This window comes from Homo sapiens, chromosome 4 (genome assembly GCF_000001405.40).
Source record: "Homo sapiens chromosome 4, GRCh38.p14 Primary Assembly".
In the NCBI taxonomy this organism is placed as follows: Eukaryota; Metazoa; Chordata; class Mammalia; order Primates; family Hominidae; genus Homo; species Homo sapiens.
This window is the reverse complement of record NC_000004.12, coordinates 155,686,463-155,709,076: the sequence shown is the minus strand read 5'-3', so window position 1 is coordinate 155,709,076 and position 22,614 is coordinate 155,686,463. Positions and strand designations below refer to the sequence as shown.

The 22,614-nt window shown below is 36.4% G+C and overlaps 1 protein-coding gene across 25 annotated transcripts in view; it reads right to left on the bottom strand.

Annotated features, from left to right (window-relative positions):
* GUCY1A1 (guanylate cyclase 1 soluble subunit alpha 1) overlaps positions 1 to 22,614 on the bottom strand; it is a 70,212-nt gene that overhangs the window by 27,983 nt on the left and 19,615 nt on the right. For 16 of the 25 annotated variants that reach the window (NM_001379669.1, NM_001130683.4, NM_001379673.1 and 13 more), the window contains 3 exons: positions 11,955 to 12,321; positions 5,084 to 5,145; positions 783 to 841 (listed from right to left, as the gene is read on the bottom strand). In NM_001379669.1, the coding sequence (NP_001366598.1) occupies positions 783 to 841; positions 5,084 to 5,145; positions 11,955 to 12,209 (376 nt within the window). In that variant the 5' untranslated portion in view covers positions 12,210 to 12,321. The remainder of the gene's footprint in view (positions 1 to 782; positions 842 to 5,083; positions 5,146 to 11,954; positions 12,322 to 22,614) is intronic. The other 9 variants (NM_001379667.1, NM_001256449.2, NM_001379666.1 and 6 more) reach the window with 3 other exon arrangements.

Genomic DNA, 22,614 nt, shown 5'->3' with positions numbered 1-22,614 from the left:
AATTTGTTTATTAAATAAAACATGCTATTTTTGTTGGCAAAATGCCCTACAAAATACAAAATGGAGTCTTTTTTAAAGATGGAGTTAGTTATGTCAAGGGTGCTCTGTATGATCTTCCCTTTCTATAATCTCCTTTAATCTTTACACTCTGAGTACCACATTTTTTCTTATCTGTAATGTGGGAAAAAGAATAGTGCCCTCTTCATAGCACTGTTGTGGGGCTTATATTCAGAATAGGGCCTTGCTCCTAGGGGGGCCTCAATATACGTTAGTCATTATTATTATTATCAATATCTTATACTTTTAGAAAGATGCAACCTCGTGGTTCATGTACTGAAACTTTGGAAAGGACAGCAAGACAAAGTCACATATCAATTTTTTCTCTCAAACTAATCATTAATGTGAGAATACTGTTAACTTTTTTCCCATGACTGCTCCTAACCTTTAAAAGCATTCTTTATTTTACCTTGTTGAGTAGAATTTTTGATGTATAAATGAGGAACAGTTAGTTAGGTTCAAGATCAAAGCCTGTGAATATCTGTGAGACAGCTTCCCATCTAGCCTTATCTACTCCTCAGCAAGTAAACATAAACAGAGAAAATGTTTTAGGTCAAACAAAAACATATAGTATCAAAAAGAGTTACTCTTTACGTTAACAGAATACATAATATTGAACACTTCATACTGGGAGTCACCAACAAATAAATATGAATATTTTTGGAGAAAATGTGAGTTCTACAGGTATATGGCATACTTTCTAATTACATAAACAATTCTATTACCTGCTGCAACTGCTTGCTCTGCAATTGTTTTTTCAAAGTCTTCTCTTTCCAAAGATTTCCTGGAAATATTTCAATATTTTAAGTTATAAACTTATAAATACATGCTAAAAGTTCAGATTATAATATACAGAAACAATGATAGAAAATAGTTTAAATTAGGCCAGGCACAGCGGCTCACGCCTGTAATCCCAGCACTTTGGGAGGCCGAGGTGGGTGGATCACAAGGTCAGGAGTTCAAGAGCAGCCTGGCCAATATGGTGAAACCCCATCTCTGCTAAAAATACAAAAATTAGCTGGGCATGGTGGCGTGTGCCTATAATCCCAGCTACTTGGGAGGCTGAGGCAGAAGAATTACTTGAACCGGGACCTGGCGGGGCAGAGGTAGCAGTGAGCCGAGATCAGCCACCACTGCACTCTAGCCTGGCCAACACAGGGAAACTGTCTCAAAAAAAAAAGAAAGAAAGAAAGAAAGAAAATAGTTTAAATTCCCTTTTCTGTAGAAGCAAATCTTGACTATCAATTTTATGAGAAAGGAGCAATGACATATACCATCCAGAACAATGTTGGAAAACCCCAAAATATATATGACATAGAATGTTTTGTTATTCTTCATAAGAAATATTTACCTTTAAAGTGAACTTTACATAGACTAATACAGACAGTCTCAGACTTAGGATTTTTTTTTTTTTTACCTTTATATCGGTGCAAAAGCTGTAAGTATTCAGTGGAAACTGTACTTCAAAGTTTGAATTTTGATTTTCTCCCATGCTACAGGTATGGAGTACAATGCTCTCATGTGATGCTGGGCAGTGGCAGTGAGCCACAGCTCTCATGTGGCCATGAAATTGTGAGGGTAAACAACCGGTACTCTACAGTGCACTGTGTTGCCAGATGATTTTGCCTAACTCTATGCTACTTTAAGTTGCTGAGGACATGTAAGGTAGGCAAGGCTAAGCTATTCAGTAGGTTAAGCGTGTTAAATGCATTTTCCACTTAGGGTGTTTTCAAGTTACGATGGGTTTATCTGGACGTAACTCCACTGTAGGTCAAGGAGACTCTGTACTCAGGAGAACCTTCCCTGGCTAGCAACCTCAAATGTGAAGTGGCCAAGAAGAGGATGGTAATTCTGATAACCAAGAAAAACCTACATACAGATAGAATTCACTTTTAAGTAATATTATATATTTTCCTAAAGCAAATACATAGAATCTTTTGCTTCTTAGTTTAAGGCTGTGTTTATCTCTCAGATATCATTATATTAAACTTTAATCCTTGATTTTGTATAAAAAATTAGTAATGAAAGAAACCTATTCTTCATGCAATTACTGCACTTGTTTTACAGCATAGAAATTGAGACTGTAATAGCATGCTTTTTTATTGATAAGATTTTTTTGCAGTTTTAACTGCACGACTTGTTGATTCATGTTTGCCTAATTGTTTGTGATGATTTCTGATAGTGATGAGTGATTATGACAAAATTTGCCAAATGAGCGAAGCTTAGTTTGTCCAAACAGCACATAGTGCAATTCAAACTACAATTCCTACCCTCACCTTCAAAAAATACAAGTGGGTGTAAGCATTGCACATGCACCAGCCAACACATGTGTGCCTTATACAAATACACACACACACACACACACCAGCATGAGTTCATACATATAATGATGTGATCAAAAGATCCCAGAAAAAGAAACTAAGCAAGAACTCTCTGGGCAACCAATCCTGAGGGACATGATGGCTATACTAACACTCATTCACTGAAAAAAAAAAAAGAGGAGGGGGGCAGCTCTAGTCCTTCATTCAAGGGCAGTTTATTGGTTGATATATTGGATTTTTGTTTGTCAATTCGTAGAAGAGAATAAGCAGCACAAAAAAGAGTTAAGTTGTGTTCAGCAGTTGGCAAACTGACAGCAATAAAAACGGCAGTGACTTACCAATAAGAAAGTGAAGTAAAAAATCTTTAAACAAGAGGATACCCCAAAACTAAAAAAGCACAGAGGAACCACTTAACATATCAGCAGGCAGGCTTATGAGCAAAAATCTTGTTTCAACAACTGAATAGTTCTCATCAAGAAAATTTAAAAGTATAATCAGATTTCTTTTTTTTATATTTAGGGACATCAGGGAAGTGGTAAACAAAAATTTCAAAATTTCAAAAAAATAATTATTGTTGGCTTAAGTTTTGAGATTATTTTAAGAGGCACACTGCTGGAAACACATCATAACTGAGTATTGCAAGAAGCTGTAGGAACGATTCAGAACACAAAGCCCTGAGAATAAATTTTGAGTAAACTGGCTGCCAAGGACTTAAGCAGACAGACACAGTAGCACAGTGAGAGACTTAAGACTATCTTATCAGCTTGACTGGTTATTAAGGTCAGAGGTGTTCTGGAATGCTTCTCATGTTACTCGTGTAAACAAAGCTTCTGTCAGACACATAGATTCACACTCTTTCCTTCTGGACCTGTCCATGACCCCTTCTTGGCTTGGTCCTGCTGCCTGCAGTCTGGGACCAGCTAGTCAGCAAGGAAAATCAAGCACATATGATCCACAGAGCAGATGATCACTCATGAGTAGGAGACAGATGAATGAATTGTTAAAACATTCCTGACAATAGTGCTGGTTTGTAAAACTCCAATGTTCAGTTCTGCAAATTTCAACACCAGTATTTATTCTATTATTTATAGACCAAATAAACCTTGAAATTTCAGGGAATCAAAAACGGGGCCTATTACTTTTTTTTTTTTTTTTTTTTGAGATGGAGTCTCACTCTGTCGCCCAGGCTGGAGTGCAGTGGCACAATCTTGGCTCACTGCAACCTCTGTCTCCTGGGTTCAGGCCATTCTCCTGCCTGATTAGCTGGGATTACAGGCATCTGCCACCATGCCTGGCTAATTTTTGTGTTTTTAGTAGAGACGGGGTTTCGCCATGTTGGCCAGTCTGGTCTCGAACTCCTGACCGCAGGTGATCTGTCTACCTTGACCTCCCAAAGGGCTGGGATTTGCCACCGTGCCTGGCCCCTATTACATTTTCTGTCAGCAGTAAATGTGCTAAATTGTATTTGATTCACTAAATAAATCAGATTTAAAAAATGTAACTTTAGAGACAAGGCGCAGTGGCGCATGCCTGTAATCCTAGCAGTTTTGGAGGCCAACGCGGGTGAATGCTTGAGCTCATGAGTTTGAGACCAGCCTGAGCAACACGGTGAAACCCCATCTCTACAAAACAAAAACCAAAACAAAAATTAGGTGAGCATGGTGGCACATGCCTGTAGTCCCAGCTGCTCGAGAGGTTGATGTGGGAAAATGGCTTGAGCCAGGGAGGCAGAGGTTGTAGTGAGCCAAGATTGCACTGCACTCCAGCCTAGGCGACAGAGCAAGACCCTGTCTCAAAAAAATAAAAATAAATTTTAAAAAAGTAACTTTAGGTCCATGCCCTTAATCTCAGTTTTTTGGGAGGCTGAGGCAGAAGGATGGCCTGAGCCCAGGAGTTCTGGGCAGCAGTGAGCTATGATCACACCACTGCATTCAGCCTGGATGACAGAGTGAGACCCTGTTTCTAAAAAAAAAATAAAAAATAAAAAGTAACTTTATATTAAGCCTCTTCAGAAATGCTTTAAAGGAAAATTTCAAAGAATACTAGAAAAAAAGTATAAACAAACTGATGTTCTGCAGTGCAACCAAACTAGTTAGGAGAATACAGAAACACTTCCCTAAGGATTAATAAACAGCTGCTACCCCCCGGAACCCTGAGTCCCCCTCCTCTTAAGCACTTGATCCTTCTACCTCCTCCTGATGCAGATACTAAAGTATTAACATGTTGTTGAGATGTGTGTTGGGGATGGGGTACCTGCTGGGACCCTGCTCAAAACTTTGGCAGCATCCTTCAGGCAGGAAGTCTTGATTGTTTGGGATCCATGACTTACCTGTTGTTAAATATTTTAGAAGTTACCAATTAGTACAAAAGAATCGGCCTTACAGGAGCTTGTTAAAGCAGCAGTTTATAACTACATGCTTAAAATAATGGCTCTGAAAAACCCAGGCTCGAACCCCAGCTCTGTCTTTTCCTTAAACGGCTATAAAATTCTAAATACTTCATATAAACCTGAGTTTAATCATTTATAAAATGTGATAAATAGATGCACTTACTTTGAAATTAGTATCAGCTAAAGTACTAAGTCCAGTTTCTGACATACCACAATGATTCAATAAAGGGCTGACACATTCAGTAACTGCTGGCCATTAGTAGCAGTATTAGTCATTGTAATAAGAGGTTCACACAACTAAAGTGGTTTGACTTACCTGCTTTCTTTTATTTTGTGCTTTGCCAATGTTCTCTGAAGTGCAACATTCAGCCGTTCAAACTGAAAGTTCAAAAGAAATGTTTTAAACATTCCCTTATATAATAATTTGTTTGGAATTATATATTTAAAAATGCATCCTGAAGATTTATTTTCGAGAATAAAGCACATTATACAATTGCTTGAATGATAAATGTTATGAATTTTCACTTTGGAAACTGGAAGTGATTTTCTATGTGTTTTTCAAACTGGAGAGGAAGCAATGTGCTGAGACTAATCTGAGATTGGATATGTGTTGTGGCCCACAGGTTTAGCCTTTGGTGGTGGTCTCACTGACAGCCACAGAATAGTTGAGCTGAGTGTGAACCCAAACAGAAGATTTCAGTTTGGTAGTGTTAGGTCTTCTGCAATATAGGATTCCATGGGCATCACTTCCTCTGAGTCAGGAAATCCCTCTGGACGGGCGGCCAATACTTCAATCTCAGCATGGACCAAGCCAAGCAAATTTCTGTTCCTTTCACAAACTCCACACCCAGCTGCCCCAGTGACTCTCTGCCCTTAACTATACATTCATATCATCTTCTTGTCTAGCAAACTCTGGAGTTATCTCTGTCTCTTCCTTTTTTGATCTCTTAAATCTAATCTGTCACCAAAGTTAGTTGATCATTTATTTGAAATGAGCCTTGGGTTTACCTTGGCTTACACTGATTTCCTTTCTTTGAACTAATAATCCTCATCAAATACTTATGGTTTTATTTTCTTTTATTGATTTCTGAGAATTTCATGAGTTTCCTTATTTTGCAAGACATTTGTATGTAAGCTTTTATACTTAATAAATACATGTTGAGTAGCTATTAATTTATCTTAACAGCTGATTGTCTCTAATAAATAAGTGGAAAGTAGAGCATTGATAAGCAGTGTTGTCCATTTTTATATATTCCATGTAAAAATCATATGTATCTATGTATGTACCTCCCTCTCACTATATATGTGTGTATATATAGAGATATATATAAAACTATATATTATATATATAGAACCATTGATTCTTTCTATAGTTTCCCCAGAGGAAAGTGAAAAATTTTTTGCTGTCCCAAGTTAAGAAATTCCTTTTTCCTTAAAAACTATTTATATCTCTTGTAGAGTTTCCACCAGTCAAGTGAGGTACTGGAGTAAACCAAAATAGATCAAGGTTCTGTTTTAATGACATGAGTTATGAAAAGGGCTTTTAGTTTTAAATATACACATACAAAGCTTAGAAAGAAAATTTAAAAATGTATTGAAAGAAAACACAATTGCTGAAAAAAAATTAAAGAGAATTTAAATTTACAATGTGGAACAATTTTTCAGACTGTTCAGATATAGAGAGAAAGGATACTATCTGCCACAGGATGAAAGAAAAGCTGGTGGAAGACGCACCCAGAGGGCAGATTCTGAGTCGGGCTTGGTGAGCTATGTAAAGGCAAAGGGCAGTTGAGAAACATGTTCAAGAAAGAAACTATGGGCATATTTCCTAGACATCTTTCTCATCAAGGAAAAAGGAAGGTAACATTAAATTAGTGACACTATACATGAAGTAAATCAGCCAGGGTGCTTGAAATGTTTAAATATTTCAAGAACCATCTACTTGGTACAGTAGAAAGTTACTCCAGTTAACAGAGTATCAATGTGGATACAAATCCATGAAAGCATGAGTGGCTATGAATTATTTGTTCCTGCAAAATACATTCATATGAAAAAAGAAGTCTTTAATAAAATAAGGGTTGCTGCCTTTGTGCCTGAGCTCTCAGTTTTTCTTCATAGCATTTGCTCGCCAACTTTGTAAATTTTTCATAATCTGTCTCTTCCATTACAACAGAAGCTCCAAAAGGGCAGAGAGTGTCGGTTTTGCTTACCCCTCCATCCAAAACCTACAATGGTACCTATCCATAGGAGATGTTCAATACATATTTATTGAATGAATGAATGAATGAATGAATGAATGATGTCCACCTGCCAGCTATTCAAAGTCTTGAAGGCTTAATCTATAAAATTTTATCTGTGAAGTGATAAAGCCAGATATAGAGGTGTTACTCTCTTAGCTTGTTTACAAACAAATTTAGGTTGTTTCCAATGTAAACTATTTCAATTATATTTGTTTATATATATATTAATTGCTTCTTGAACCAGGAACTTCTTTTTTTTTTTTTTTTGGATATAGAGTTTTGCTCTGTCATCCAGGCTGGAGTGCAGTGGTGATCACAGTTCACTACAGCCAAGAACTCCTGAGCTCCAGTGATCCTCTTGCCTCAGCCTCCCAAGTAGCTGGGACTACAAGTATGAGCCACCATGCTCGCCCTGACCAGGAACATTTTGTGGGCCAGGGAGAAAGAAAACCCAACCAATTCTGCCACTGAAGAATGCTTTCTTCTTCCTCTTCCATGCTACTGGAGATACTCCACTCCTCTTTATGTCTCTGATTAAGCCATTGGGTATACTCTTTTACCTTTTTAGTCAAGATGTTTATTTGTCTTTCATTTCCTTCCTACTGCCACCAGAAATGTCTTTTTCTGGTCTTTTCCTCCTAACGTATACACTATCATTGTAAGAGGGGAGGAGAAATGGTCCCCTTCCAATTGCTAAGGTTGGTGGAGCAAATGTATGTTTGGCTTTCCATTTTGAATCAAAACTTATTTTCCTAAAGAAAAAAAGGAATAAAGTCCGTGCAAAGCATTAGTAGCATACTTGACCAATATTATGAGTGAATAGGCTTTTATGGAAATTGACATTCATCTTATACCATTGCTCTTCTGGAAAATTTTTGTAAATTCAAAACAAAACCCATAAGAGACAGAACTCACATGTTTTCCAGGCAGAATATTTATTGGTAGAGGCTGCTGGTGCATCGAGTTTCCTACCTTGGTGCTGTACTTCCTGTGATATATCCTGACCCTGAGATAATATGAGTCCACAATAAAATTATAAGCAGGATTCAACTATAAGTGAGATCTGTCACACACAGCCAACCTCAGGGCCTCATAACATAAAATCAACCACTTCAGGACTGCTCCATACCCCAACAATTCTATATATTAATTTTTGGTTTCAGATTTTAGAACTAAATCCAATATTTCCTTCCAAATTCATTCCTTACAGTTCAATATATGTAAACATTGTGTAGCAGTCTTTTGTAAATCTTTTAGTTGTCTATCACTAAAACACCCTACTATTTGGGAAAGCCTTTATTTTGAATTTTGGGGGAACAGATCCTCTTATTTGTACAATCACTGGAACCTGAAGTATTGTAGATTGTGGACTTTCTGATTCACAGAGGGGACACTTGTTCCCCAATGCAAATAGTTTGTAGTGCTCTCAAGTTTGTTTCTCTTGACTAAACAATTATCTTTTGGCTCATAAAGAATAGATCTGATTAAATTATTAAAACAAGTACTTTTGCCACAAATATACCATATATGAATACTTCAGGAAAAACTGCTATTTGATGCAACATTGCTGTCAACAATGTGAATTTTAATAAAAATATCATTGGTGTGGTTTATGGATAAGTCACTATTTTCATTGGCTTTTTAATTTTCCTACAGTGCTTAACGTTTTTCTAGACCAATAATATTTTAATTCATAAGATAAATTGTAATACTGTTTCTTTTTCTTCTTTCAACCTAATATTCTAGAACACATCTACAGACCTCGTGATTCTCTTCAAATCCTACTCTTACTAGGTACTTGATTTGGGATCTTATCATTTATGTAAGCATATCCAATTCAATTATTTCAATTCAGTAAGTGGTTTCTGATTTGCTTTGACTGTGGCTCCATTAAAAGCTCCTTCAAGACAGTATGCCTGAAGGAGCTTACAGAATTATTGGGAAACAATACCCATGAAAAAAGAGCAAACAATATTATATTATGAAGAGCAATGGGTTGTGAATGAAATGCAGAGAGTTTTCCATTTCTCCAGTTATCTTTTGCTTTAAGCAAGAGATCTAAATTTATGTGTCTCTATTTCTTAAAATAGAAATGATAAGTTTGCATTAGATGATCAAGAAGACTTTTTAAAGCTCTAGTATTCCATTACTTGAGAACGACCTCTCTCATGTTACATTTTCTAAGGATAATACATTTTTATACTTGCCTGTTCACTAATAAAAATATAACCAGGAAGTTAATTCTGATTATCTAAAACAAAAATTGTGATGTCAAATGCTATTTTAAATATCTTCTTTTGTATTATTAATACAACTGACACTAAATAGCAGTCTAAGCATTAAATCTATAAACTTAACAAATAATCAGTAAAAAAACATAACAAGTATTTATCAAAGATAAGCAGATGTTTGAAGTCATCTAGATTGAGGACTACACAGCTCAAATGTATTCAACACTGGAACATTTACTGCCATAACGATAATATCTCAGTTGGAGAGGAGTTTTAGTTACTAATGCCAAACATACCTCTTCCATCTCCTATAGTCTTGCCCTCTCTGTTACATGACACTGTAGTCAAATCTTAATGCTTATTCTTACAAACTCATGAACAAACAACATAGACTACTAAATTTTTTATATACAATTTTAATTTGGTATTGCATCCTAGTCTTTCAGTACATTTTCCTAGGAAAAAGAGAAGGGAAGTTTATAGCAGCCTGTATGGCTCTTCAGGATCAGGAGAAGGCACACCACCCAGAAACTTCTCCCTCAGCAGGAAAAGAGAGGAATGGAACATGCACATCCATAGAAAATGTTTGAGAGGCTCTCAAAATCTCTAGCTGAGCCAATTGGTGAATGTCTTTTCCTGTGAAAACCAGTCTGAAAAGAAGCAAAGAGGTGACTGCATACTCAAGTGTGCAGGCACCAATGCAAAGCTACAAGGGACACGAAAAATCAGGGAAATATGATACAACCAAATAAATAAATAAATAAATAAATCTACAGTAACCAGCCCTAAAGAAATGAAGAACAATGAATTACCTGACAAAAAATTCAATATAATGAAATTTAGTGGGTTATAAGAAAACACAGACAGACAACTAAATAAAATAAGAAAACTATGCATGAGCAAAATGTAAACATCAACAAAGAGATAACCACAAAAATAGAGCCAAGTAAAAATTCTGGAATGAAAGAATAACTGAACTGAAAAACTCAATGGAAAGCATTAACAGCAGACTTAAGCCAAAGAATCAGCAAATTCAAGAGAGGTCATTTGAAGTTATTCAGTCAGAAGGGCAAAAAGAAGAATGAATGAAAAAGAATGAAGGAAGCCTGTGGAACTTTTGGTGGCACCATCAAGTGAACCAGAATTTTTTTGTTGTTGTTGTTGAGACAGAGTCTCGCTCTGTCGCCCAGGCTGGAGGTGAACCATAATGTTTTTTAAAAAAGAGTCCAATATGTGTATGACTTCCATTGCAGAAATTCAAAATTTACCAAACAAAATGATAAAGCCAACATAGTAAGGACAGGATTCAGGGAAAACATAGAAGCAATCTCAGCTTCCTCATCATCACCTTTGGTTCATTTCTGTTCATTTCACTCTGTCCTTGAAATGAGAGCACCGATTGTTTCCCAGACTGTGCTACAAACCAACTCCCTGAGGAGGGCTCTATCCTTTATCCTAGCCAATGCTGGCTGTCTAGCAACTAGAGTGTGGTAAGAATAATTAAACATTTCCATTTCAAAGGTTATCTGCCAAAGTACTATTGTGTTAATATTATATCTGAAATAAACTCCCTCAACTTTCTGCTAAGTCTAATTTATCCATCTTTCAAACTTCAATTTCTTCTTTCTCAGTCATTCCAGCCTGGACTGTTTACAGCAGGAATTAATTGCTCTACCCTTTGAAAGCTGTGTAATTTTGGTCAAGTCACTGAACTTCCCTAGCACTTCCTGGGAGTGAAACAAGATTATCTGTTAAATTCCTTTCAGTTCTGAAAATCAGCCAGTCCATGTTTCTTTGGTGCTTTGCACACAGTAGAGGGTTGGTATTGAGTCAATTAAAAATTATCAATGTATTATGTTAGCTGGTGTCTGATTAAGTCAATGTCCAGCCAAATTCATAGGTTAAGCAAATCTATATAAAACTATGAAGACTGACAGAGGGAGGAAGACATCATGAAGACCTTCAACTGCTCTTCTATTTATTTAGGTCTGTGTCCTCTTCCCAGAAGTTTCCTTCAAGGTGGATTGACAGAAGGTGCTCTAGATCTCAACATGACACTATGCTATGCAGCTTGCAGGGCTATATGAAGAAGTGTGAGACCTAATAACACGCAGGTGTAGGCAATCACAGGCTCATGACTCCGACCCAAGGGAGAAAGTCAAGACTGGCTTGAGCAGAACTTCAGAATCAGAGCAAGTGGCCAAGGGAGATTTTCACAACTCTGAAAACTGGCAGGGGACGTATGATGCTCTTTAAAATTAGGAGAGAAAATTTGAGCAGAAAATAAGTTATTCTTTGAAGAATTTAATTTTAAGATAATAGCTAACAACTACTGATCACTTATGTTATGGCAAGAGCTATGGATGGTTTCACTTAAAACTCATTAAAACTGTAGAAGGTGGGTACTACTATTATTTCCATTTTAGGGATAAGGAAGCTGAGGTAAAGAGGCATTAAGCCTGTTGCCCAAAATCATAAAGTTTGTCAGACTGCAGTGTTCTTTTGAAAAGAATTCAAGATCATAAACATTTTAAGATAAAACACAACTTAAGAACACAATTGCTTTAAAAGAATATTTTTATGTGTTTCAAGAAAATATTCTACATTTATTGTAGCCTTGAAAGTGAGAAAGGAAGTGTTTAAATTTTCCTTGGAAAAACATTCTTCTACAATTTCAAAGTATTACAATTTCAAAATCTAAAGAGCACGCACTCACCTCTGGGAAAATCAGTTTGCAAATACTCTCTGCCAAAGTGTGAAGATAGACTCGGCTCCGACTGGTTTTTCTTTGAGGAAGACTTTCTTGTATGTTCTTCTCAGGAATGTCTTGACAGATGGGCACGGTTGCTTTGCAGCTCTCTGAGCTTCCTGCTGCCTCCTCTGAAGACTCGTTAGGAACTTGACCTGGTGCCAGTAAGGAGAAAGGACACTCTCCTGTGATCTTGAGATCCTTGAGCTTCGTGCAGAACATGGTGTTGGTGTCTCTTACCCTGCTGCGATCTCCTCCTGATGAGCTGTAGTTCTTATATGAGACTGACAAACAGAAGCCACTATCAATTCAAGGACACTGGTAACTGGGATGTCTATGGACAGCAAAAAGTCAGAACAGAAAGAGGAGTGACTTTATGCACGGATGAAAACAGAAAAAGACAGGTGAGCAAAAGCAATAGTCATGTCATTCTCAAGTTAAAAAAATTCTGCTGGAAATGCCAATTATAAAATGAGCAGGACATTTGGCAAAGATCTTTACTTAATATGTGTGAATTTCACAATATTAGCAAAATACTTCCTCTTACTATTTTAACTTTTAAAATAAAATATATTTTTCCAAAATGTTCTTAGCATCAACTACTGATTTCCATTTTTTACACTCATCTGGTCCAGTTTGATTTCACAAGAGTGGAACACCACGGTTTTATGACAAAAGCCACATCTAAGTTTATGTTTTATTCATGCTTGTACTACTACATTCTCATTATGCTCTCCTTTCTGAAAAGTCAGAACAGTAAAAACCAATGGCTTCCAAAAATACCTAAAGCAAAACAATATGTATAATGATCCCCAAGTATATGTTTTCAGATTTGAAACACCAACTTAGAAAAAAAAAGTTCAATGAAAAAAAGTTCAATGAAGATGATTATGGCAAAAGAAAAATTTTATCACTTTAAATGGTAAAGCAATTTAAAAATATTATCATCAAAATGAAAAAAACATCAGAACTCCTGATCCCCAAGAACATACCATGGGATTTGCAGGGGTCTCTGGAAACAAATCTAGACTGCGGTGAGTCAAAGACTACCCCACTTCCCACTGAAATCATAAGCATCGCCATTCCAGCATATTTCCCCCAGTACTTTTGTTTTTGTTGATGCTGTGGTTGTAAATTCTCCCACAATTCACAACCCATTTATCATTAGCTATTTGTTACTGGAACTGTCAAGTTGTGAATTCAGTTCATCAACAATACTAATTATCTTGATTAACTGGGTCTACCAGCTATTTCCTACTCTTGGGGAAGAAAAACAAAGAGTGGAAAAGAACCCATATTTGCTAATCCCCACATGTACTAAGTACTATGTGCCTGACACAGTGCTGGGAACTCTATGTTTACAATTAATCCTCACAGCAACCACATAACACAGGTATTATTATCCCCAATGGGTGAGAAGCTCAAAAGTTTAGGTAGTTTTCTCTCATTTCAAATGCTAGAGAATGACTGAACTAGGGTTCAAATGCAGATTCAGCTGACTCCAAAGCCAATGTGTTTTCTATAACTCCAAACTAATATTACTAAATTAGAGCAGTTTCTACACAATCGGGCTTTGTTAATCAACTTAGATTTTTATCTTCAAAATATGGTTTACAAATTTATATTAAAATTCAGTGAGGAACATAATTTCCTGTTCATTGGCTAGTGGTATCTGAAACATCCAAGATTCAGCCTTATATTTGAATCTTTAGAGTTGAAGTTCAATTAGGTTTTTTTTTTTTATTTTCTATGCTCCTCAATGCCCTTAATATGTTCCCATAAGCAACAGCCTGTAAATTGTCACATGTAAGTCATCTAATAAGTTTAGAACAATGAACAACTCATTTTCTGAACTGGGACAAACAAGGAAGCTAAATTCAGTATCTGATCCCCATGGGATGTCATGGGACATTAGGTATAGAGGAAGATTATGGATGCTGGCAGGCCAGAAGAAGCTGCCAAGGCTCTGTTACCTAAAGTTATAAACAAAATCTATGCTCATATATAATTTATGGAACTTCAAGAAGGGACAAAAGAAAATCCTATGCATTTATGAGTAGAAAATTTGTTCTGCCAGAACAGAATGGAAGCGGTCTACCTCAATAGACTACTGAAGTGGTCCAAAGGTAATATGGCTATAGGGGGAATGATTACTTAGGTTCTACAAAACCTAAATATCTAATAATTTTACCCACATTTGTTTTGGGACTTAATGTAATAAATATTTGTTTCTTAGTCTTTACTACATCTCAACATAATTCTATTATTGTTTAATAACTTCTCTTCTGATTTAAGCTTCAAATCAATGATCAGCTTTAAGCTTTAAAAGTGCTTTAACCTTTTCTGTAAAGGGCCTGAGAATAGATACTGTCAGCTTTGCAGGTTACATGGTCTTTATTGCAAGTATTCAACCCTACCATTGCAGTGTGAAGCCAGCCAGAGATGATATACAAATGAATGGGCACAGATGTGTTCCAATACAACCTTGTTTGTAAAAGCAGACTGTGAACATAGCCAGTAGTTTGCTGACCCCTGGTTGTAGAAAACCGAGTATATTAACTAAAGCATTTTAATTAAAATATAATTTTGACTATAGGAGCAAAGTTATTTCCTCATCTCCTCTAGTCACTCCTCTCCAAAAATAACAGCCTACGCAGGTCCAGTTTTGGTTGGGGTTGGGGAGCTTGGAGAGTTTTTTTCATTATTATTAGTAGAGAAAAGGTCTCACTATGTTACCCAGGCTGGTCTGTAACTCCTGGGCTCAAGCAATCCTCCTGCCCTGGCTTCACAAAGTGCTGGAATTACAGGCATGAGCCACTGTGCCTGGCTGGGATCCAGTTTTTGAACAACTTCAAAGTAATCAAAAAGAGTGTAATAGATAATACTAAATAACTATTTATACAAATAATAGTACCACTATTTTGTATTAATTTTCAGGGAAAAGAGCTTTATTAACTGAATGCCACTATTTCAGTTATATCAAAATCTAACTACAATAACTAGCAAAAAAGGGTACATAAAAACAAAAGGAAGACAATAAGAAATGGAAGATTATAGGTTAGGTCTGAGGATGGCATAGAATTATTACTAAAACGAATTATTCTGGTATATATTAGAATTTTAGTATTGGACTTAGAAGTTTGCCATAATATAGTTTATAATAGATCTTTCCATTAAACTTAACTCTCTCATTCACATTGGATTTCAACGCTGGTACCCAAGCCCAATATTTTAATTCTTATCTTCCTACTGAATCCAGCTGCAGTAGAATACAATTGACCAGTCAACCTTCCTTGAAATAATTTCTTTTCCTGTACTGCACGGTACTATAATTTCCAGGAAATAAGCCGAACAGTGTTTTTTATTAAAGCAAAAACAGCCAACAGGAAGTAAGTTGTGCTTACTTTAAGATAGTTAAGTGTTTAGTCTCATTAAATTACATATGTATAAACAAACTAATTAGCATTCTTCATCTGCTCAACTGATGAAATTACACTATGAAGCAGATGCACGCAGTGTTGATACCTTGGAAACCTGTTTGTCTTGCTTTTGCCTGCCAGGAATACAGAATACAGAATATTCCTGGCAGGCAAAAGATTGTTCCTCAAGTAAACTAGTGATGATTTTTATGGGTAACGTTAGCAGTAACTTCAGAAATGGTTTGGTCAGTGGGTGAATTCAGTACATAGTTGGTTGTAGAGATGGTAGTAACATGGTAAGGGAAAAACAAATAAATTAAAATAATAAATTTGGCGACAGGCCTTGGCAAGAAGTGGAATAATATGTTCTCAGAAACTTGAAGAGGTACTTCTCATTCCAAAAGTTGATAATTAAACAGCCTCCAAATAAACTTAATGCTCACTCTCTTTTTACTAGTGAGTGATTAACTTTGCCGTGGTGAGAATAATGACCCAGCTACTGGCCTAGTATTAATAACAGGGACAGATTATTGTGCAAGTAAGGCAACCCTCAATCATTTAAACTCTAGAATTTAAAATTTAATGAAGCATGAACTTTTTTTTTTTTTGTTGGAGACAGAGTCTCACTCTGTCATCCAGGCTGGAGTGCAGTGGCATGATCTTGGATCACTGAAACCTCCGCCTCCTGGGCTCAAGCAATTCTTCTGCCTCAGCCTCCCAAGTAGCTGGGATTACAGGTGGCAGCCACCATGCCCAGCTAATTTTTGTATTTTTAGTAGAGATGGGGTTTCGCCATGCTGGCCAGGCTGGTCTCGAACTCCTGACCTCAGGTGATCCACGTGCCTCAGTCTCCCAAAGCACTGGGATTACAGACGTGAGCCACCATGCCCATCCTAGAATTCAATTAGGCATGAACATCTTGTTTACTACATGTAACAAGATCATGTAGACATGTAACAATATCATGTAAGGAAAACACCCCTTACCACACTCTCTGGCACTGATACACTTTTCTCCAAAAGCAGGTCTTAAGGAGCAGATGAAAAGTTAGAAAAAGACACTTTTCAAAAGAAGGCATACATGTGACCAACAGTCATGTGAAAAGAAGCTCAACATCACTGCTCATTAGAGAAATGCAAATCAAAAACCACAATGAGATACCATCTAACACCAGTCAGAATGGCTATTATTACAAAGTCAAAAAATAACAGATGCTGAGAAGGTTGTGGAGAAAAAGGAATGCTTTTTAATTTACACTCTTCGTGGGAGTGTAAATTACTTCAGCCATTGTGGAAGAGAGTGTGGCAATTCCTCAAAGACCTAAAGACAGAAATACCATTTGACCCAGCAATCCTACTACTAGGTATACACCCAAAAGAATATAAATCATTCTATTATAAAGACACATGCACACGTATGTTTGTTGGAACACTATTCACAATAGTAAAACATGGAATCAACCTAATTGCCCATCAATGATAAACTGGATAAAGAAAATGTCGTACATATACACCATGGAATAATATGTAGTTATAAAAAAGAATGAGATCATGTCCTTTGCAGGAAGATGGATGGAGCTGGAGGCCATTATCCTGGGCAAACTAACCCAGGAACAGAAAACCAAACACCGCATGTTCTCACTTATAAGTGAGAGCTAAACAATGAGAACGCATGGACACATAGAGGGGAACAACACTCACTGGGGCCTTTTGGACTGTAAAGGGTGAAAGGAGGGAGGGGATCAAGAAAAATAACTAATGGGTACTAGGCTTAAAACCTGGCTGATGAAATAATCTGTGCAACAAACTCCCATGACACAAGTTTACTTATGTAACAAACTGCACTTGTACCCCTAAACTTAAAATAAAAGTTGAAATAAATAAATAATAAAAAAATCGAAAAAAGTTACAGGGAAGAGGCAAGCCTAAAAATTATGTATCCATCACAAAAGCAATTAGCTGTATCAAATGTCTACCATCATACCTGGTACCTGGACATGCCAATATCTGTGATTAAAAAGATATGAGCTTTTTAAGATTAAACTTGAAAGTCCAGATTTTTAAGAGTAGCCAAAAGGAGGAGAAAACTTAAAAGCAAATTGCCTTAGTAAGGATAAAGTTTGTATACTTCAGTACAAATTGTAACAACTATTTTCATAAATAAGGAAAAAGGCTTAATTTTCAGGTAGACTGAAAACTTAGAAAGTTTTCCTTACTCAAAAATTGAAAAATATTACATAAAATCCCATAAACCAGTCTTTTAAAATAGGTTTCTTTTCACTTTGTAGTAGGAAATGTTTATAGAACTTTCCCTGTGGTATATCAGGAAAGCAGGACAAAGTAGTAGAAAAATTGGTGAGCATGTCCAATTCTCTCTGCCACAAAGTTAAAAAGAGACAAACAAATCTCAGACTCCTTCATCCCATCATTCCTCTCTAGCACTACCATTCTCCCTTTATTGTTACTCTTTTTGAAAGGTTGGCTTTATGGGCTGTGTTCATTTCCTTACATCATATTTATTCTTAAGTTCAAAACCATCTGGCTTTTGCTTTAGTATGTTACTGATATCTCTTTATTAAATTTGATGATGCCTAAAAGTCAAAGCTCAAGACTCTTTTGGCTTTTAACATAAATTCTCCATTCATCTGCATTTTCTTTTTAATAATTTTGATTCCAATAGATTCTTTGGTATTACTGGATTGTCTTCTACATCATTCACGCATTCATGCACTTGTTCATTTTTCTTCCTATTCAACAAATATTTACGAAGGTCTTGCTCTGTGCCAGGCATTTTTCTAGACACAAGGTCAGAGTGATGTGTAAAGAACACCCCTTGCTCTCAAGAACTTACAATCCAGGAGGAAAACTATTTCTGATGTATCAGTTCCAAGGGTGGCCTCTGCTGCAAAAAGGGGAGGGATATAGTGCTCTGGGAATGTAAATCAGAGATCTGAACCTAGTCCTCTCAGAAACATCTGAGCTGCGTCAGGCCAAGAGAGTTCCAGAAAGAACAGCATGCTTGGGAGCCAATGTTCTAGGAACAGAAGTAATTCCAGTGTAGCAAAGGCATGAATGAGGTTAAGACAGAGCAAGATAATGGTGGTGAGAGACAAAATAGACAGAGGTCAGGATTTTGCAGAGTTCTACAAACCGCATTAAACAAGATAATACTCTATTCTAAGGGCAATCAACTAAATAACTAATAAGCAAGAGAGTAAGTGAATTAGACTGCATTTTTAGAAGATTATTTGGAATGTAGAATGAAAAATGGGTCAGAGTAGGACAGATGGTAGATCTGGGTTGGGCAAAAACAGGACCCTGGGGGGAAAAAATGAATCAATTGCAGAAGTAATTCTGAGAGAGAATCCGCAGGCCTGGGCTACTGACTGGGTGTGGGGACCAAAGCAGAGGGAAGACACATTCCTCTGACTTTACTTCTCAATATCCCAGCCAAGGAAAAACTCTAGGGACCATAGTGCACAATCAAAATAGTCCATAATACATTTCCCATGACTCTGGTTATTCAATCTTAACCAAGCCTAGAGCTTGGATTTCTAATATTATATAACACCTTGTGGGAGTTAGGTTACTCCAATTCTTCTGTTAAAATCTCATTTTGGGAAGCAATTTCTCCTTGTTCAAAAGCCCAGTAATTGTTCACTCCAATTTCTATTACTGAGTAGGGCATTCACCTTCCTAACGGACTGCATCTACATGTAAGTGTGAGCTGTCTCAAGCTATTTTTAAAGAGGAGGATGCTTACCTTAAATTTTTGTAACTCAAGAGCCCATACTGATGATTCTCCCAAAACAGAGAGGTCAACTCTAAAGACAACGGCAACCTCACTTTCAATAATCATATTGGAGTGCCCCTGCCCCCCGACTCGCCGGGTGGCAACCGCCTTGATAAAACTACAGTACTGGACACAAATTGTGTTTAATAAGCTGCATTAAATCTTTATTTAAAATAAGATGAGTGCAATCTACAATCTTTTAAAATTAGATTTAAGAGGCAATTCTGTGGCATCTTTGAAATAATAGCAAAATTCAGTACACTCAACTCTATAGTAGGGAGATTTTAAGTATTCAAATTCACATTTTGTTTCTCAGTTTTTATCAAAGTATTTACAGAATGTTTTATAACTAATTTAAGAGAAAAACCTTTGGGATTATAAATCCTAAAATATATTTTAAAAACTCTCCCGTGTGATGACTACAATTTGAATACATGCAGTTAAACATCTTCAAATTAAGTATCATCACTACTTATGATGCATCATGCTGATCATGAGGAAATCAGATAAACTTTTCAACCAATTTTCCCTAAAATATATAAAACAATTTCTTGCATCTTTTTCTATGATTCTCATCATAGTTACATTGCTAAAATAGTTCCTTGCAGAGGCTTAGTCACTTTAAAATATACTTACTGAAAATATAGTAATGATTATGAAATGAGTTAAGGAAGAAATGTAATTCCTTTTTACTCTGTAAAAAGCCATTTTGTTTTTATCTGTTTTCAAATAAGTACTGTACATTTCAGGAATGTCAATTGGCTCAGGCACATCTATCGCTAGGGAAATAATGTCAGGATAAAATGCAGGCATGCTAGATCCCCTTTGCTCCCCATTCTTCCTCTTAGCCCAGTCTGACCATATGCTCTGTCGTAGAAGTACTGTTGGACAATTTTCCTGTATTTTTCTCTTGTCTCCATAACTCAGCAGACTCAAGGCTGTCTTATAGTTCTTTCCTACCAACTACTTTCACTTTTTTCCCCTTAGGTCAAGGCCTACAATTGCTGAGGTGCAGTATTCATTAGAATTCAATGTATCTTTTAACTAAACTTTTATATTTTGGGGATTTTGTTTTGTTTTGTTTTTTTTCTTTTTTGCTTTTGTTAGTGCTCGTAAGCATTGAATGATTTCACTCAAACACATTTTTTCCCTAAGTCCTTTTATTTTTAGTGCACAGTTTTGAAGCATATGAGGTTTTCCAAGAACATCTATGCTGTGTTATATCAGAAATACTCCTACACTAATCAATGTTTGATTTAAATTTGCATATAAGGTGAAAAGCCAACCTACCAACCTGGAAGAAACACTCAACAAGATCACATTTTCTGAGACTCCACAGAGTACATTATAATTTAGGTAAAATAATCTGATGAAACTTTTAAAGTGACAACAAATCCTTGATTAAATAATTGGGCTAATTGATAGATTTCTTTTAGGTGACATAATGAACTTGATGATTACATGACATCATAATTTCTCCTCTTTTAAATTTTGGTCAGGCAGGAAGGCCTGGAAGTAAAGTAAAACCTCTACATCCTTGATGTAGAGACATACATAAACACACACACATACATACATACTTACATACACACACCCTTATTTTCCCTCTTCTGTAATGATGAGTTTTTTTTTTTTTTTGTTTGTTTGTTTGTTTGAGGAGTCTCGCTCTGTCGCCCAGGCTGGAGTGCAGTGGTGCGATCTCGGCTCACTGCAAGCTCCACCTCCCGGGTTCACGCCATTCTCCTGCCTCAGCCTCCCGAGCAGCTGGGACTACAGGCGCCCGCCACCACGCCAGGCTAATTTTTTTTTTTGTATTTTTAGTAGAGACGGGGTTTCACTGTGTCAGCCAGGATGGTCTCGATCTCCTGACCTCATGATCCGCCCACTTCGGCCTCCCAAAGTGCTGGGATTACAGATGTGAGCCACCGCACCCGGCCCTGTAATGGTGAGTTTTTAAGTGCCTGATGTCTCATGTCTCATGCAGATAATTAGCATGACAGAGACTTCATAATTTGGAGGGTTGGGTTCACATAAATGTAGGTGCCATGCCCAGTTGTTCCCTGAGGCAGTGGAGTTGGCGTAGCAGTTAAAAGCTTAGGCTACATGAACAGATGGCCTGTGTTTGCTCCCTGCGTCTACCATGTGCTAACTCTGCGACATTAGTGAAGTTCTTAACTGAACTTCACCTCAATTTTCTCCATCTGAAAAATAAGGATAATAATAGCAACTATCTCATAAATGTGTTGTGAGATTAAACAAAGCAATAAATAGAAAGCACTTAGAAAAGCACTGCTACCCAGTATGGGAGGAATACATGTTGACTATCACAAATGCTACTCGGTGGTAGTGTGACATTGGACAAGTTTCATAACTTCATGAATTCTGTTATTTCACACATAAAATGGTAAAGTCATGATGTAACAGATTCAAATTAAGAATTTGGAATAATATATATAAAGTGCCTGGTCTTGCCTAGCATCCATAGGTCCATAATTTTTTTAAAAAAAGATAAAAGTCCAGTCTTGGATCAAGTCTTCAGTCACTTGCCTTACGAAAGCTGTGATGCTTCTTCTACTAGAGCTCTAGGCAACTTTTTATAACAGGAAAAAAATGATCAGTGTCTCCTTGATAACTTCAGAGCAACCCTAAAATTTTTTTTTGGTACATACAACCAAATGTAAATGCTCATTGCATACTACAAGAAAATTGTGCTGACATAAGTTATTAAATAAATGATTGACAATTTTATTCTAGCTTCTCAGAAAGATTCCTTAATGTTTTATACTTATGAAACCATTTTTTTCATGCATCAAAGCTTGTTTAAGGGAACTCTAATAATATATCCAATGCTCATTATCCTACAAATATAGAAAGCAATCTTTACTTGATGAGCATTAGAGAATATACCAAGAAAGTTATATCTAAGTCAACAGTTCTTTTTATTGAACTAAAAAATTATAGAATTTGCAGCACAGCTTAGAGCAGAAAGATTCTATTTTGGTTTTATCTTATCTAATTCTATTATATAATAAGTTGCATGTCTAATTCCTTTAATGAAATATTAGAATATAAAAACTGGGTGACTATGTTGAATTTTAAACCTCATTTTCTACTCGTTAAGCCAAAACTATTTTATAAATCAAGCAAGCCTTATGCCATTGCACTACTCACTATTTTTTATTAATTCATATTATTCCCAATGTGGAAATTTGAAAACAAAACAAAATCTCATAACAACCAAACTTAAATAGAAATCCTGTGGTATCTGATTTTATTTTCCCAGAATGCCATATTGGGAAATGATTAGTATTTGTTATACAAGGAATCCTGTCTCTAATTATTGCTTTTATAAGCTAACTGTTCTTCTAAATATGGATTCAGTGATAATTCTTTTTTTTGAGACGGAGTCTCGCTCT